The sequence below is a fragment of the Homo sapiens genome, chromosome 1, assembly GCF_000001405.40.
Source record: "Homo sapiens chromosome 1, GRCh38.p14 Primary Assembly".
Taxonomy (NCBI): domain Eukaryota; kingdom Metazoa; phylum Chordata; class Mammalia; order Primates; family Hominidae; genus Homo; species Homo sapiens.
This window is the reverse complement of record NC_000001.11, coordinates 50,023,969-50,042,159: the sequence shown is the minus strand read 5'-3', so window position 1 is coordinate 50,042,159 and position 18,191 is coordinate 50,023,969. Positions and strand designations below refer to the sequence as shown.

At 39.0% G+C, this 18,191-nt stretch overlaps 1 long non-coding RNA gene across 1 annotated transcript; it reads right to left on the bottom strand.

Annotated features, from left to right (window-relative positions):
* Positions 1-944: 944 nt before the first annotated feature.
* On the bottom strand, positions 945-18,139 carry LOC105378708 (uncharacterized). The gene is made up of 3 exons (XR_947311.3): positions 18,038-18,139; positions 6,186-6,307; positions 945-1,230 (listed from the first exon to the last, which is right to left on the bottom strand). It is a non-coding gene; the product is annotated as an uncharacterized LOC105378708 (long non-coding RNA).
* Between the last annotated feature and the right edge of the window lie 52 nt (positions 18,140-18,191).

Here is an 18,191-nt window from a genome sequence, read left to right as displayed (position 1 = left end):
TTTAGACTTGGCTTATTGATTTTTTTTTTTCCACATAGGCTTCCTTCTATCTCTGCCTTCTGGGTCATCATCAGACAACAGTGATATTTCAAGTTGCTTACTCCCCGTAATCTTTGAGCTCTTAATCTCCAGTGTCTCCCTTCTCCTCAATTTCAGCCACCTAGGTTCACAGCTGATCTCAGGCTTCATTATAGTACTAAATGGCTCCACCCTCAAGCTCTAGAATTCAGCCATTTTTCTCTCATATTCCTGCTTCTTCCCTGGTCACTGTTCTTACCCTTTTAGTGCTACCAACCCAGTTTTCGTTCTCATCGTGTTTCTCAACTCCTAGGTCCCATCCTGTGTGCCTAGCATGATGTTATGCCTGGCACTTCTACTGAGCATGGGCCATGTGCCCAGCATTTTCTCTATCATCCTCTAGAATCTCAGCACACCCTCTTCATCTTCTGATATACCACCTGGTCAGCACTAGCCCAGCTGATCCAAGTGGGCCTCCTCTGGATTCCCACAGCACATTTGCAGTCCTCTATCACAACTGCTGTCACATTGCTTTGTCAATTTCAGTTTGTGTGTCTGTCTCCCCACTAGACTATGAGCTTTTTGAGGTTGGAGACTGACTTATGGTCTATGTAACTACAACTTAAGCAAAAAACACATCTACTAGTTGGAGTGTCACGGATTTTCCTGCCTTCATGCCTTTGCTTATGCCATCTGTCCCTGGGAATCTTTTTCCCCAACTACATTGCCTCCTTTTAAAATCAGACAACTGCTATAAGGTTCATCTCACATACCACTTCCAAAAAGTTTTTCCTGATATGACACCTTCCTCCATTGGAGTTCCAAAGCATTTCATTGGTATTTCTTTGCACTTTTTGCATTTATTTGGTTTTGAAGTCAGTTTAATTACTGAATACCTATTATTCACCCAGTGATATACTGCCCACTTTACTCATGGCTATCATTTATTCCTCATAAATATCCAATAATCCTGATTTTACAGATAAGGAAACTGAGGCTTTGAAAGATTACACAACTTTGCAAAATCACACAGCTAGAAAGTAGAAGGACCATGATTCACTCCCAGGTCAGAGTTCTCTTGCTGAACTGCGTTGCTTCATAGATGCTTTGGAGACTTGTTCCTTGTGTAAATGTCTTGCCCCTCTGTGTGAGTTCTTGGGGGGCAAGCGGTGTGTCTTTCACCTTTACATATCCTTTAACATCTGGCCCAGCCTTTTGCACGTAGTAAAATAAACAGAAAATAAAATTGATTCAGAGACTCTCAGAAACACCTACAAGACAGCCCAGGGACTCCACCCCCTCCACTCCCATTTCCCTCTTACTGACCCAAGGGACCTGATTGCCAACCGGCTCAAAACGGACCCTTGCAGGAGCAGGTGCTAATTCAAACAGCCTCATTAACAATCTGTGGGGCTCCTGCACTAATTACAGTGGGGCTTTAACTACATCCAGTTCACCAATTCAACAGCTTCTATTTTTAACCCATAATGGTGGGATCTCCAGGAGGAGTATACAGGGATCTAGTGTTCTCTCATGCCACCTTATGTCCCTTCCCAGTGTTTCCAAGGAAAAAAGCTGGGAGAAAGTGAGAAAATACATTCAATTAGTGAAATTGTGATTTATATCTCACAGCTTATCTGTTCCTTAGCTGTTTGAACATTATAATTTTTAAAATCAAGGTAAATCTAAAAACAAAGAAAATTTATGGAACTACCATTGACCATGACAGAATAGACACTTCTTTTCCCAGCCATGTAGTTCCCATGATACCTCAATAATTCTGAGTCACTTTGTATAATTTATTATTTTGATAATTTTACATTTATTTTTGCTATTCCTTGGTTAATCTCTATTTCTTCTATTAGCTTATTAACCCAGTGAAGACAGGGATAGCATCATCTCTTTCTCTAATTCAGAGCCTGCTATGTTTCAATTAGGCTGTTTGCTACGTTTCCAACTACCTTATCTCTAATTGTAATAAGGACACACAAGGTAGGCACTAATGTGTCTACTTCACAGATAAGGAATCTGAGATTCAGGGAGGTTAAATAAGTAATCTAGGACCATATAGCTAGTAAGTGGAGAGGCTATAATTTAAATCCAATCTTTCTAGTTCCAAAAGTAATAATTGATCCTCTATGCTGTATTGCCTTTGACTAAAGAAGCTGTTAATCTTGGTGGGTTTTTGTTTTTGTTTTGTTTTGTTTTTGTTGTTAAAAAAGAAATTGTCTCAATGGTTTGTTAGCCAAGTGCTAAATTTCTCTCCCGGATATGGGTATGTTTTTGATAGAGAAGAGACAAGAACTGTGTATCCACGTGACTATCGTTAGAAAAAATGTTGCTTACTGCTACACAGCTTTCTTTTAAAACAAAATATTGATGACTTAGTTTAATTTATCTAAATTTCTTGTGTCAGATTTCACTGTGTGTATTTGTATGTTTATTGTGTTTTTATTCTGCCTCAGAGACTAGTATTCTGAAAATTGAAGTTTCCTTAGGAAAGTTTGAGATACAAAGATTCAGTGATTTTGGCTGCCCATATTGCTGGGGTTTGGGAAATCCAACGTTGTAAACAAAGTAACTTTTTTCATGACTTCCTCATGTTTTCTTTTGTCTACTTATCACAGCATATTTATTATCAGTTTGAAACAGATTTTTCCTTTTGTATCTTGTTAGTTTTATCTTCCCAGAATTTGTCCTAAGGAAATAAATTGTAGATTTCGCTTTGATTCTGATGCCTCCTTGAACTTCAAAGGTAATATTCCCTCAGAGAGAAGCTTTGGATTCTAATTTTTTTTCTCTCAGAAAATTATACAGACAACATACTTGAAGTAGTATGGTGGAAAGTTCTACAAGAAGAAATGAATGTATGAGCTCTCTTTTTAGAGAAGATGCTGGTAAGAAAGTAAAAAGAAGGAAAAGACAATAGTATACGAAGAAGACAGGCCCCCTCAAGCATTCAATGGCAAACCTAACAAATAAACTTTTTTTTCCTTCAAGATAAAAATTATCTTAAAGAAAAAGTGGAAACTTATGATCTTCAAGGCAAGGAATAGAAAACTCCTCTTACTATAGTTTTTCTTCTAAAAAAAGAGTGAGTTTATACCAACTCTTTAGAAATATCATTTAGCCCCAATATTCTCTCTATTGCAAGTGGGCAAGTTCTGCCCCATGGAAATGCTACTTTTGTTTGATAAAAACAAAACCAGATACAGGGAGCATAACTTCTCATTCCTTAATTGTGAGCTGCAAATTGTGACTTTCTCCAAAGAATGTAATATGGAAAGAGGTAACTTTACACTAGAGAAACCTGAAAAATACTACCTCAACCAGGTAATCAAGGTCAATAGCAACAGTCATAAATCATGTTGATAGTATGTGCCCTTCATTTGATGTGATAAAAATGACACTTTACCTCTGTAATCTTCCTTCCCCAAACCCATATCCCCAGCGTAATCTTGAGAGAAACATCAAAGTCCATTAGAGGGGCGTCTTACAAAATACTTGAGCAGTACTCCCTAAATCTGTCAATGTCATCAAAAACAAGGGAAGTCAGAGAAAATATCACAAGCAAAAATAGCCTACGGAGACATGTCAGCTAAATGTAATGTGGTGTGAAATAGAATAATTCAAACTTAAAACTGTTGAAACTTTAAATTATTCTGACCCTTGAGAGGGATGTGGCTCTGCAGCCTGAGTCACATGGCATGAAGTAGCAACTTCTGCTTTTTTTCCCCCGTAAATAGTTAAGACCAGGCTGGGCACAGTAGCCCACGACTGTAATCCCAGCACTTTGGAAGGCCAAGGTGGGCAGATCATGAGGTCAAGAGTTTGAGACCAGCCTGGCCAACATGGTGAAACCCCATTTCTACTAAAAATATAAAAATTAGCTGAGTGTGTTGGCACGTGCCTGTAGTACCAGCTACTCAGGAGGCTGAGGCAAGAGAATCCGCTTGAATCGGGGAGGTGGAGGTTGCAGTGAGCCATGATCACACCATCGCACTCCAGCCTGGGTGACAGAGCGGGACTCTGTCTCAAAAAAAAAAAAAAAAAGTTAAGACCAAACAGCACCAGAGATAAGAATCCCTCAGATCATTGCCCCTCCTTCTGAAGTAAAAAGCTTCCTCGGAATGTAGCAGTCTGTAACCAATCAAATTGCTGTAATATATGCACTGATCTATGGGGAAAATGTAATCCTGCTAAAATTTCTCTGCCTTTGCCTATTAAGTGAAACCTCAACTTCTTCACCTGGGAACCTGACCCCATTCATTTGGAGTCAATGTTTCCACATGACCACCTTTAATATTTGTGTTCAAGTAAACTCTATCCTTAATCATATTTTCTGAATCTAGTTATTTAAGGTTGACTGTGGTATCTTGCATGAGATCTTGGAAAAGAAAAAGGATGCTAGATAAAACTAAGAAAATGTGATAAAATTGAGACTTAAATTAATAATAATTCGTCAATATTAGCTGGTTAATTGTAACAAATTGATACCATACTAATATAAGATGTTAGTAATAGGTGAAACGGTGTGTGAGGTGTGTGGATACTCTATACTATCTTCTTAATTTTTCTGTAAATCTAAAACTATTCTAAAAATGGAAATTCATATTTTAAAAAGCTCAACAAATAAAAATGCTTATAGGGTCATTTAAGAGCTTCCTCAGAAATTTAGAAGAACACAGAAACAACGGATGTTACATAATAAGTTCTAACATTTGGATGATCCTATACTATCTTACTTAATTTTTAAAATAGTCTAGTGAAGTAGATACAACTATTTATTCCCACTTTATAGCAAAGAAAAGTGGAGCTTAGAAAGATGAGGTGGCTTGATAAGAATTTTACAGCTTATCTCCCTAGTTCCAATGATCTTTCCACCATATCCCATTTACCTTTCTACTGCTCCTAAACATTAGCAACAAAATAGGCAATAACAGTACCAGGCTTTAATGGTTGGTCAATATAAGGCAAGAGAGTAATTGCTACACCCTTTTCCATTGTTTGCCCACCCAAAACATTGATCTAAAGTATCCATTTAAGCACTGGTTAATGGCATCGTATCACAAAAAGTCAGTAAATGGTGCTTGCCTCTGACAACAAGGGTACAGAATGTGTTACCATTGAGGGTGGATGGTATTGTGAAGGGGCAATAGTTTACTTTTTGTCAGAAAGCGTTCTATTTTAGGTCTGCACACTTAGGAATATGACCTCTACTGAAGAACACCTTAAACATCTCATTTAGCTTTTAGGAGTTTGTTGATAATAGATGGTGTTCTATACTTTGAACTGGGGAAGTGTTCAAAGACTAGCAATGGTTTGGGCATCATTCACAAAGTCTTCCAGCTGTGGTGGCCATACGCCACTCCATCTGCCTGTATTGTGTGGGTGTTGTTCTGCTACGTTCTGAAGCTTGCCTACTCTTGCTTTTGGATAACAGACTACTTGGGCAGGGATATAGTTTTTTGTTTGGACCATTTTACCTGCTGCAAAGCAACATATACCCTTCCCCCGCCCCAGCCGGCAAGTTCAGAAGACATGTGGCTGTTAAGTTGGCAATTGTAGCAGCATTAAAAATATACATATGAGAAATCGTATCCCTGACAATCAGTTTATTGTGTGGCATGTGAGAGGGGTGAGGGATGGGAGGAGATTACCACTTAAAACATCTGCCAAGACACAGGTGGTAACAGTAGCAATTACTGGATATTATTAAATACAGCTACTGTGAGATGAACTCACCATACAGAATCTGTCTCTAATCCCATCAGAGAAGCTGGCTTATAATTATGGATCTTGTTGGATGTCTTAAAGGGTAACTGGCCTGAGTTTCTGCCAGATCTTAGTTGGAGAGCGTGTATGAGAGGGAGGTGAACAGGGCACATGCAGAGGATTTTGAAGATGAGAAGTTCCCCAATAAATGTTATTTTAAACTTCCTGTTTTGCTGTAAACTGTGTTAGAAAGAAAGTCCACATGATTTTGGTCATCTCTGGGGGCTTTAGAAATACAATGTTTTTACCACTTTTGGTATTCAAATTATTTATAGAGCTTCTAGGACTATACTCAACTTCTCCACCCACAGAGAAGCCATTTTCTACTGTTTAACTTATTGTCAAGTCATTTCAGATCACCTGCAGTTAGTATTTAAGCTGTGTTTTCTTACCTCTATCCTTACATGTCTGTTTCTTTGACCTAGGATCCTCATTTTCTTCTGATGATCCTTTAAAATTCAGCTCACATTTTACCTTCCTCTGGGAAATCTCCTTTGGTTACACTCTGTTTCAACTGAAAGTTTAAATTAGGTGATCTTTTTTTGTACTCTCCAATTATCTGTACATGGACCTATCATGCCTTTTTTTTTTTTTTTTGAGACAGAGCCTCCCTCTGTCGCCCAGGCTGGAGTGCAGTGGCGTGATCTCAGCTCATTGCAACCTTCACCTCCTCAGTTTGAGCGATTCTCCTGCCTCAGCCTCCCGAGTAGCTGAGATTACAGGAGCCCGACACCACGCCTGGCTAATTTTTGAATTTTTAGTAGAGATGGGGTTTCACCATGTTGGCCAGATTGTCTCAAACTCCTGACCTCAAATGATCCACCCACCTCGGCCTCCCCAAATGCTGGGATTACAGGCATGAGCCACCGCACCCGACCCATATCATTTCTTGTTCATTCATTTATTCAACCATTCATTAAAAATATTTATAAAGTATTCACTCACTATGTATCAGAAGTTGTTTTAGCTATGGAAGATGTATCAGGGCACAAAATAGGTAAGGTTCCTGTTCTCACAGAGCTTACTATTGGAAAGAAAGTCAATGAATACGTGGATAAATGATTAAATAGAATTTATGATTTTAGACAGTAAAGAAAAACAGAGTAGTGAGATTGTGAGTAACCGAGGGTGGGAGCTATTTTGATTGAATGGACAGAGAAGGGTTCTCTGAGGAGATGACATTTGAAAAGAGGCCTGAATGAAGTGAGAGAGCAAGTGATGTGAAGATGTGAGGGGAGAGTAGCTCAAGCAGAGAGAACACTGAAGGTTGTGAAGGGGGAAGCTAGCTTGAGGTGCTTGAGGAACCAAAGGAGGCCTATGGGGCTGAAGCATCATGAGTGGGGAAGAACGTGGTAGGAGGTGAGACCACAAAGACAGACCTCTCCACGTTATGTAGGTTCTTAAAGGTCAAGGAGAGAACTTTATGGGGTGATGGAGCCAGGATTTGTAACTAGACTTATTGCTCTCCAAACCTATATAATGCCTATAATAGAACGTTATCTATGTGTATCATACTTTTAAATACAGTGATGGAAAGTGAAACCTTTAGGCTGTTCAAAAATGTGGAATTAAGATGTCATATGAAGGTTTTATAAAAATTAATTACATTTATTACTAGGAAAAAGGCATATAGTTTTAGGCATAGTATTTGTCATTGATCTATTTTGTGAGGATATATGTTTTTAGAAGGCTAAACTATTCTTTAAAACTGTTGTGTATATTAAATCAGAGAACACCTAAATTCTAATTCTAGATTTATATCCCTATTTGTGATATTCTGCTTTTTGCTTGTTTTATAAAGAAAATTATGGCCTAGTGTTTCATTACATAGCCATAAATGTCCATGTAGTTCTGGGATTTATATACTTGCCTACATGATTTCAGGGATACTATGACTCTACTGGACATAGTTAACTTTTATATCAATCATCTCCTCTTAAAACTAATAGAGGAGGCTGGGCATGGTGGCTCACACCTGTAATCCTAGCACTTTGGGAGGCCAAAGCGGGTGGATCACCTGAGGTCAGGAGTTTGAGACCAGCCTGACCAACATGGCGAAACCCTGTCTTTACTAAAAATACAAAAAAATTAGCTCGGCATGGTGGCAGATGCCTGTAATCCCAGCTACTCGGGAGACTGAGGCAGGAGAATTGCTTGAACCCAGGAGGTGGAGGTTGCAGTGAGCTGAGATGGTGCCACTTACTCCAGCCTGGGCAAAGAGTGAGACTCCATCTCAAAAAAACAAAGAAATAAACAAAAAACAAACAAACAAACAAAACTAATAGAGGAGATACTTATATATATATTTGGTCACATCCTAAGGTCTGCACTCCAAGAGCAATTCTGAAAATTTAGGTTCACTGACATCATGATCTATGAATCTCTTCTGAAATGGTCATTCCGTTTCCACGATGGAACTCTAATACTCTAAAATTTGGAATGAATGAGGTTCTATGGCCTCCTGTTCAGTCTAAATGTCTTCACTTCCTTGAACAAGCCAGCAACAGCCTTGTTTTATTCCCTAGAATTTCAATCTCAGTGTGTTTAAATATTTTGTTACATCAGTAAGAAAGTCAAATTTTAATGATACTTGGGGATGTAGCAAAATGAGTGTTCAGAGCCTCTTAGCTCCAACTCTTTTAATCCTTCAATAAATTTAAAGAATCAAAACATCTGATGCCATTAAAATAGACTAGGCTTACATGCCCTATGTTGTCTTCTTCCAAATACCCTGTAAATAAGTACCAGTTAAGGGCATGAGCATGAAGAGAAATGGAGATCTTTATCTGTTTCTCCAGTTAACCATAGAGATCTAGCATACCTAGTTCATACCACATACTCTTTTCCAGAAAGAAAAATGAAGCCTGGGGTTCATAAGCCCTCTCTCCTGATGGAAATAAAATGTTGAAAACAATTTTTCCCTTTTTCTGCTGGTGCCACATCTGTGAGAAGTACAATTAGCTTTTCCATGTTTCCATGTTTAAACCAAACTTCTCAAATTTCATTTGGGCAGATGGTTAAGTTCAAGTCATGTGTCCTGGCTAATTGGATAAAACATTTTCCCCTGTAATATCACAGGCACAATGTTGACAAAGGTATCATGTGACAGGTACTTGCATACTCGACAGTGGGAACATAAAGGGATGAGGTCTTTGGGGAGGACAATTTGTCAATACATTTCAAGAGCCTTGTACGCTTCATACCCCTTACCCAGTGACCTCATGTATAGAAATCCAAACCAAGAAAGTGATGAAATGATGACAAAAGGTATACAAAGATGTTCACTGCAGCATTATTTATAACAGAAAAAAGTAGGACTCAAATATCCAAGAAGGGAATGCTTTAATTAGTTATGATGCACGTTTATGATGATTTTATAGCAACAGGAGTAATGTTTTCAAAGAATACTTCATGACATGAAGAAATTCTTATGAATTAACATTAAGTTATGAAACTAAGGCATAAACAGTATCTGGTGTAATATACCCATTAAAAAATTTACATATGGCCATAATGCCTTTGCTAGCCCCATGTTCACTAAGTCCCTAGATACTAAGAGGTCAATGAGGTCTGGCCCTTCTTGAACTACATTGTCCTGCTAATCTCATCCAAATGAAGAATTATGTGAAGTTTACAAAGTTCTTTAAGGAGTTATCTTTAGCAAGGAGTGGCAGAAACACAGAATGCAGCCCATCTATTTTCAGCAGTCTATCTAATGGAAAAGGGGAAGTTTTCAGATTTGGGCCTTTAAAAAGAGAGTGGCCTCTGTGAGGATTTCCATCCTTGGGACCTCTTTCCCTTCTCAATTTACCTGACCTTTCTTCTTTAACTCCATCTCCTTCCAGATCCCTGAGGGCCATGTTCTCATTCCCTCCTTTAGGAACTGTGCTCTTCATCTCTAAAGGAGGACAGTCTGCCTCTCTGACCTTTTCAGTATACCTGGTTTGGGTCAATTTTCCATCGATTACTACCCTTCTCAGCCATTATAAGATCAATGAATCACTGTTGATTTCCTCATTTGCTTCCTAAGAAGTTATCACATTTCACCAAGACAGTGGGTTGGGCATTCATATTTCTTGGAGACAATAAAAAATTTAGTAAGGACAGCATTTCCTTTCTATCAGTCGCATTTAGCTTTGCTCCTTTCAGAAGAGTAGCCCCTAGTATAATATTGTTGTGCTAGGAAGCTGTTGGTACTCTCCTGAGCTTGGTTTATTTTTCAAACCCACTAAACCAGCTGTCAGTGGCTCTTCCACTTTGTTACCCAGAAAGAGTGGTGTCAGTGCCAGTTAAATTCTCTTTGATGGCATGAGTTACCATGATTGAGAGACAGGAGCTAGTAAGGGGAGAGGTTTCTCCATTTTTAAATTGCTACAATGTCTCTTTCCCTAGGCTGTGAGTTTCTTCAAGCCAGTATCAAGTCTGACTCATCCAGATACTCAGCCATCATCGAGAAAATACTCTGCCCATTAAGTTAGGCTGCCTTTAAGTTATCGATATAATCTGAGAGCTTGGTATGGGGAAGGCTGGGAGGTAATGGAATGTATTAATGAAGAGCATGATCTTTTCAAGCTTCCTTCTAACTTCAGAATATTTTCCTTTCTTTTGAATTAAGCCATGTTTTAAAATTTTAGTATTTTATCCAGCATTTATATGTGTTCATGTAATCAAGGAGACCCTCCTCATTAACTTAGCTATGTTCACTCATGCTCATCTTTAAATTTTTTCTTTTTAATATTTGATATGTGCTTCCCAGATCTTCTCTCTATATGAAGTGTTTTCGCTCAGGCTGCTATAAGAAATAATATTAACTGGTGGCTTATATACAACGGAAATTTATTTCTCACAGTTCTGAATGCTGGAATTCCAAGATCAAGGTGAAGGTGTGGCTGGCTTTTGTTGAAGACCTCTTCCAGGCTGCAGACTGCTAACTTCTCACTGTATCCTCACATGGTAGAAAGATAGCTAGCTAGCTCTCTGGCCTCTCCTTGTAAGGGTACTATTCTTCTTGAGGGCTCCACCTTCATGACCTAATTACTTCCCAAAGTCTCCAACTCCAAATGCTATCACATTGAAAGCTTCAACATATAAATTTTTGGGGAACATAAACATTCAGTCCATAACATGAAAATAATTTCCTATGCCTCTAAACATTGCTGGGAGACCACTGAAGATAGTCATATGGTCTGGGAAAAAAGTTAATAAAATACCTGCTCCTTAGTTCTTTATTGCTCCAAGATACAGTCTCCATCTGTTGCAAGTTTTCTTCCTTTCCTTGTTAGGCCAACAGCCTCACTTCTATTTTTCTTGGTAGCTGGATTTACCACTTTTATTTAGCTCATGTTTATATCAGCAACTTGGTTTTAGTGTCTTGAGTACATAATTAGGAGTAGAATTTTTAGGTCATAAGAGTATGTTTAACTTTATAAGAAATTGCTGGCCGGGAATGGTGGCTCATGCCTGTAATCCCCGCACTTTGGGAGGCCGAGGTGGGAGGATTACCTGAGGTCAGGAGTTCGAGACCAGCCTGGCCAACATGGTGAAACCCCGTCTCTACTAAAAATACAAAAACTAGCTGGGCATGTGAGTGGCACATGCCTGTAATCCCAGCTACTAAGGAGGCTGAGGCAGGAGAATTGCTTGAGCCTGGGAGGTGGAGGTTGCAGTGAGCTGAAATTGTGCCACTGTACTCCAGCCTGGCTGACAGAGCAAGACTCTGTCTCAAAAAAAAAAAAAAAAAAAAAATTGCCAAACTGTTTTCCAAAGTAACTGTGCAAGTTTGCATTTTCACCAGCAATATATGAGAGTTTTAGTTGCTCTGCATCCTTACTAATATTTGGTATTCTTAGTCTTTGAAATTTTAACCATTATAGTGTTTGGTAGTGGTATCTCATTGTGATTTTAACTTGCATTTTCCTAATGACTAATGATATTGAACATCTTTTCACATGCTTATCATCCATTTGCATATCTTCTTGTTCAACCATTTTGTCCATAATTGGGTTGTTGGTCTTTGTCTTCTTAATACTGAGTTGAACAGCAGAAATTTTTAATTTTGATGAGGTCTGATTTATCAATTTTTTCTATGGTTACGCTTTTTGTGTCCTATGAACTCTGCCTAATCAAGGTCACAAAAATGTTTGTTGATGCTTTCTTCTAAAAGTTTTACAGTTTTTATTCTAGTTTTAGGTCTATGATCCACTTCAAGTTTATATTTGCATATGGTAAAGGTATTGGTCCAAGTTCATGTTACTTTTGCATATAGATAACCAATTGCTCTACTACCATTTGTTTAAAAAGCTGTCTTTCCCCATTGATTACCCTAGCTCTTTTGTCAAAAAAAATCAATGTACCATACATGTATAACCTTTTTCTGGATGCTATTCTGTTGTATTGATCTATAAAATATGTCTATATGCTGTATGTTATGTGATTATGCAAATCAGATGCTGTTTTTATTATTGTAGCATTATAGTAAACCTTGAAACCAAGTAGTGTAAGTCCTTCAATTTAGTAATTTATTATTAAGTATGTTTTTCTTTCTTTTGAGATGGAGTCTTGCTCTGTTGCCCAGGCTGGAGTGCAGTGGTGTGATCTTGGCTCACTGCAACCTCTGCTGCCCGGGTTCAAGCAATCCTGCTTCAGCCTCCCAAGTAGCTGGGATTATAGGCACTGGCCGCCATGCCTGGCTAATTTTTGTACTTTTAGTAGAGATGAGTTTCACCATGTTGGCCAGGCTGGTTTTGAACTCCTGACCTTAAGTGATCCACCCACCTCGCCCTCCCAAAGTTCTGGGATTACAGACATGAGCAACCAAGGCACCTAGCCTAGTACGTTTTTCTTTTACAAAATGTTTTGGCTCTTCTAGTTCCTTTATTTATATATAAATTTTAAAATTAGCTTGTCATTTTTAATTATAAAATTTATTTAATGACTGGGATTTTGATGGAGAGTGCATTGAATTTATAAATTGCTATTGTCCAATGAAACTTTTGGTGATTATGGAACTATTCTTTTTTTAAAAATTAAATTAAATTAATTTATTTATTTTGAGATGGTCTCACTCTGTTGCCCATGCTGGGGTGCAGTGGCATGATCTTGGCTCATTGCACTGCAGCCTCTGCCTCCTGGGCTCATGATCCCCCCACCTCAACCTCCTGAGTAGCTGGGACCACAGGCATGCACCACCATGTTTGGCTAATTTTTGCATTTTTAGTAGAAATGGGGTTTTGCCATGTTGGCCAGCCTGGTCTTGAACTCCTGAGCTCAAGCAGTCCACCTGCTTTGGCCTCCCAAAGTGCTGGGATTACAGGTGTGAGCCATTGTGCCCAGCTGAGAACTATTCTTTATCTGCTTTGTTTAATGTGGTAGCCACTAGCCATATATGGCTATTAAAAACTTGTAATTTGGCTAGTTTGACCAAAGAACTTTAATTTTAATTTAATTTTAATTAATATAAAGTTAAATAGCTACATGTAGCTATTGGATATTTATTGGATAGTGGAGCTTATAGATAAGTTTCAGGAGAATTGACATCTTAACAATATTGTTTTCTGATCCATGAACATGGTGTATATCTTCATTTATTTAGGTCTTCTTTAATTTCTTTCAAAAATAGTTTATAGTTTTCACTGTACAAGTCTAGCACATATTTTGTTAAATTTATCTGTACTTTTATTTTTATGTTGTAAATAGTATTATTTTCTTAACCTGAAGTTTTTTTGTTAGTATATAGAAATGCAATTGACGTGCATATAGAAAACTCGCTTATTAGTTCTAGTAGCTTTTTGTACATTCCTTTGGATTTTCTAAGTATACAAACAATCATGTCTTTTGTAAATATAGACATTTTTATATTTTCCTTCTCAGTCTATCTGAATTTTATTTTTGTCTTATTCTACTGGCTAGGACTTCCAGTGCAATATTAAATAAAAGTGTTGACAGTGGACATCCTTCTCTTCTTCCTGATTTATAGAGGAAAGCATTAATTACTTGTTTAATTACTTTCCATTCACCCCATTGGTGAGGGGAAATTCCTGCCCTGGCGTTATGGGAATGGCTGAATACATGACACCTGACATGACAGATGAGATTGAGAGCAGTTTATTAGTCACATATACTCACAGCCCAGGAGAAGATGACATTGTACACCATCAAAGGGCCAAATGGAGGTTATACTCAGGAACACAGTGAACAATCAGTGGCTGTAGGAAGCAGGCTTTGTAGTTTCAAAAGGGTTGAGTGCTTCCCTGTTTCCTATGAGAGGATTTAATTGGCTTGTTTGAATAATTCTGTGGATTGGTAGGGAACTGAAACCACTCAGGGATAATCGGAACTATACCTGATCTGTTTGATAAGGAGTGTTGTTTGACTTGGAGACCTTATCTGTGTGAGGAGAATGGGGAGGAGAACTTGTGGTTAGGTAATTCCAGGCCCTCCTGTTTTTACTAGATGTGAAGGCAGCATATAGTGTTATTTTTAGGCCTTACACCATAAGCATTCAGTAATTCATTATTAAGAATGATGTTATACATCTTCTTGCTGAGAAGACCTCTATAATTATGTAATGTCCTCTTTAACTATTTTAGCAATATATTCTGTTCTGAAGTCTACTTTGATATTAATCCAGCCTTCTTTGGATAAGTGTTTGTAAAGTCTGTTTTTCCTTCTGTTTACTTTAACCCATATATATCTTTATATTTATAGTAAATTTCTTGTATACAGCATAGAATTAGGTCTCGCTTATTTTTTCCCCCAATTCACTCTGTCAATCTCTGCCTTTTAATTAGAGTGTTTAGACCTGTGCTTTCCAGTATGGTAGCTGCCGGCCATATGTGTCTTCTGAGCACTTGAAAGGTGGCTAATTCAGATTGAAACATGCTGTGGGTGTAAAACACAAACCTGATTTTAAAGACATAGTATGAAAATGTATATAAAATATCTCATTATAATGTTTTGGCCAGGTGTGGTGGCTCACACATATCCCAGCACTTTGGAAGGCCGAATCACTTGAGGTCAGAAGTTTGAGACTAGCTGGCCAACATGGTAAAATCCAGATTCTACTAAAACAAAATACATGGTGGCATGGTGGTCTGTGCTTGTAGTCCCAGCTACTCAGGAGGCTGAGGCAGGAGAATCACTTGAACCGGTGAAGCAGAGGTTGCAGTGAGCCAAGATTGCGCCACTGCACTCCAGCCTCAGTGACAGAAACTATGTCTCCAAAAAAAAAAAAAAAACTATTTGTTAAATATTTCTGAAGGACATAGAAGACTTAAACAGATTATAAGATATATCATGTACTTGGATAAAAGGACTCAGTATCATAAAGATGTCATTTCTCCCTAAATTAATCTATAAATTTATCACAATTCTAATAAAATACCAGCAACATTATTACTTTTTTCTTTTTTTCTTTTTTTTTTTTTTGCAATTAGGCAAGCTGATTTAAAATTTTACATGGAAAGAGTAAACAACAATAGCCTGTTTATTAAAGAGCAGAATAACAAGTATGTCCTAAGAATATAAATGTTGGATATGGTATGATTAAGTGGGTGTGGCCACAGGAGTAAATGAGAACAAGGCTTGGAAAGAAGTTTATGCCATGAAGGGTCACAGGGGAAACACCAGGTTTTGGTTTGGTGTCAGAACACAGGAGCAAGGGGAAATCCTAGGCCAAAGCCTTTATTGGGATTTCTGTGAGAATCGCAAGGTAGAGCAGAGTAAACATTTAGGATTGGCTATTTTGAATACTTCTGGTGGGCTGTGGCTATAGATGCCCATCAAGGGGATCTCTCTTTAGTGCTCCTCCACTTTGCTGAGCATGCCTGTGTCATTGCTCTTACCACATTGTTTGGAAATTAATTGTAAACTGAATTTGTGCATGTTAATCCTTTCTTTCCAATTAGTTTGTAAACTTCAAAGGCATGGTATTTTTGATGTGAAAATTACATGAGATAACACAGATGAATTTCCTAGCATAATTTCAGTCTTCCCTGAGTCTGCTACTTTCTGCCTGAAACTTTGTATAAGTCACTTAAACTCTGTGAGCCTCAATTTCATCTTCTGTACAAGAGGCTGATATTAATACAAATATCATAATGCTGCTCTGAGAATGAAATGAGTTTGTGCTCGTAAAAATATGATTATAAATTAAATATTTCTCTCATTCCATTCTGCATCTAACTTAGTGGCCAGGCACATGGAAGGTATCATTTTAATGAATGTTTATGGAGGGAGTGGGTGAATCCTACAGGGTATATTTTGCTTGAAAGAAGGCACCCTTGTTGTGGGTGGGTGTTTTCTGTGGAGACAGAAATCATAGGAGGTCTCTGGGGAAGACAGACCTCCCAGGGACATATGAATGGTAGCACGGGGAAACTAATTCCCAGGAGCCCATGTAGGGGACGTTTTCCCCCCACTTCCCATGCTGTGTTATTTTTCACACAACAAAAGGGAAGTCTCTGAAGACTCCAGCAGTAGTGAAGAAGTCTATACTCCCTCCTGCACTGCTTCCTGAGGAATAGCTGACACAGAGGAGAACCGAACCTGGTCCTGTCAGCAAGCTGGTTTTCCAGGCTTTTCGTCTCCTCTGCCCAGTAAGGCATTTGTCTATCAATTCTGACTAACAAAACTTTCTGCAGTGATGGAAATGTTCTATACATATGTTGTCCAATATGGTAGCCAGTAGCCACATGTAGCTATTGAGCACTTGAAAAGTGGCAATTCTGATTAAATAACTGAGTTCTAAATTTTACTTAAAATTTAAATTGACCAATGTGGTTCAATTTAATAATGTTATATTTGTCTCTTTATCCTCAGCATCTGCACAGAGCCTGGCTCATACTCATCAAATGCATTTTCATTCATCACCCTATTTGTGTCTTAGAGCTACTCTTTGTGGTAGGCAGGACCTTTGTCTCAGTTTGTTGGAAGAGGAAACTGAGGCTCAGTAAGTTTAAGTGATTTGCCCAAGATTATAAAGCTATAACATCAGTCTGAGTAGAACCCACATCTTTCTCTTTATTTTTCCATCTCCCTATACTTAATGTAGTTCTTTTGTTCTTCTTAGCCCTTATTGACTCCTCCGACACCGAAATTCCCAAAACCCTCACAGCCTTTACATAAGTGTCATTAGGACTGTGGAAAGCACATATATATTCATCTTGATAGTTGTGTGGACATGGCTTGTGAATTTTAAACTGTTCAAATGTGAGAGATAATTCTGATAGCTATTTTCATGTAACTTTCTGTACAAGATTCTTATCCCTGATTTTAATGCAGATGAATGGACAGTTCCATGCATGTGGCCAGCATCTTACTTAGAAGGCCTTCCGGTCCGTCTCTGCATTTCTGCCTCAAGGCTTTCTCTCAAACTCTAGAAGTCTGCTCAGCCCTGGCAAGCATAACCAGGAAATGTGAGAGAGTTCAAGCTGGAAGGTGGAGAGCAACCCTCAACCAATGGAGACAGAAATTAGGAGACAAATGCCCCAGACTCTGTGTTCTTCAGTGGGACAACGGCAGGCACACATTCTACCCTGTTTTTCAGAGTCTGAAGCAAGATTAAAAATAGTTGTCTACTAAAGCAATCAGCTCAATAACACATTTTTCTTAGCGTTTTTCCCCCTTCCCTCTTTCACTCTCTCCACCTCATTTCCTTTCAGATTACCACCATTTTCCATTCAGCAGACATTGACTGAGATCCTACTTTGTGTCATGCACCACGCTGCACTATGGAGTATACAAAGATAAGAGAACAACCGTAGGTATCAGAGAGCTCATGGTCGAGAAGGAAATAATGCATAAAGCATTTGGAATAGAGGGAATATACAGGGGACTGCGGGAGGGCAGAGCTGGTCAGGACGGGTAATGTTCCAGCTTGGTTTTAGACGATAACGGCGTGTCACTACTGAAAGGTGGGAAACAGCAGCCCATATTTACTGAAAAATACGTCAGCAAAAGGATAAGTCTTTTCTGGGGTTGAGGGTTGCTGTCGCAGAGGGGCAAGGAGCCAGAACCCTTTGGGCCTCTGTGTGTTTGGGTTGGGGTGGGCACACAGTTGGTTTTCAGTGCATTTCAGTTGAAGACGAGTAACCCAGGCAAACCAAGGGGAGAAGCTTTGGGAAATCAAGAAACCTGTCCCAAGTCCCCAAAGTTGAGCACCAACCACAGAAAAGCCAGTTTAGCTAGTCTGGGCGGTCAGTACGAGGACCCCGGTCGCCGTCAGGAAAGCGCCATCCCTACAGACCTGGCCCCTGTGCTCTAGGGGTGGCGGAGCCTGCTCAGTTGCCAGGATGCGGTGGATCGGTTGCGGAGGAGCAGCGCCCCGGGGCCCAAGTCCCAGCTCAGGCCCGGGCTCGCGCCGCGGGGGCGGGGCCTTGGACGCACGCTCCTCCCAGGCG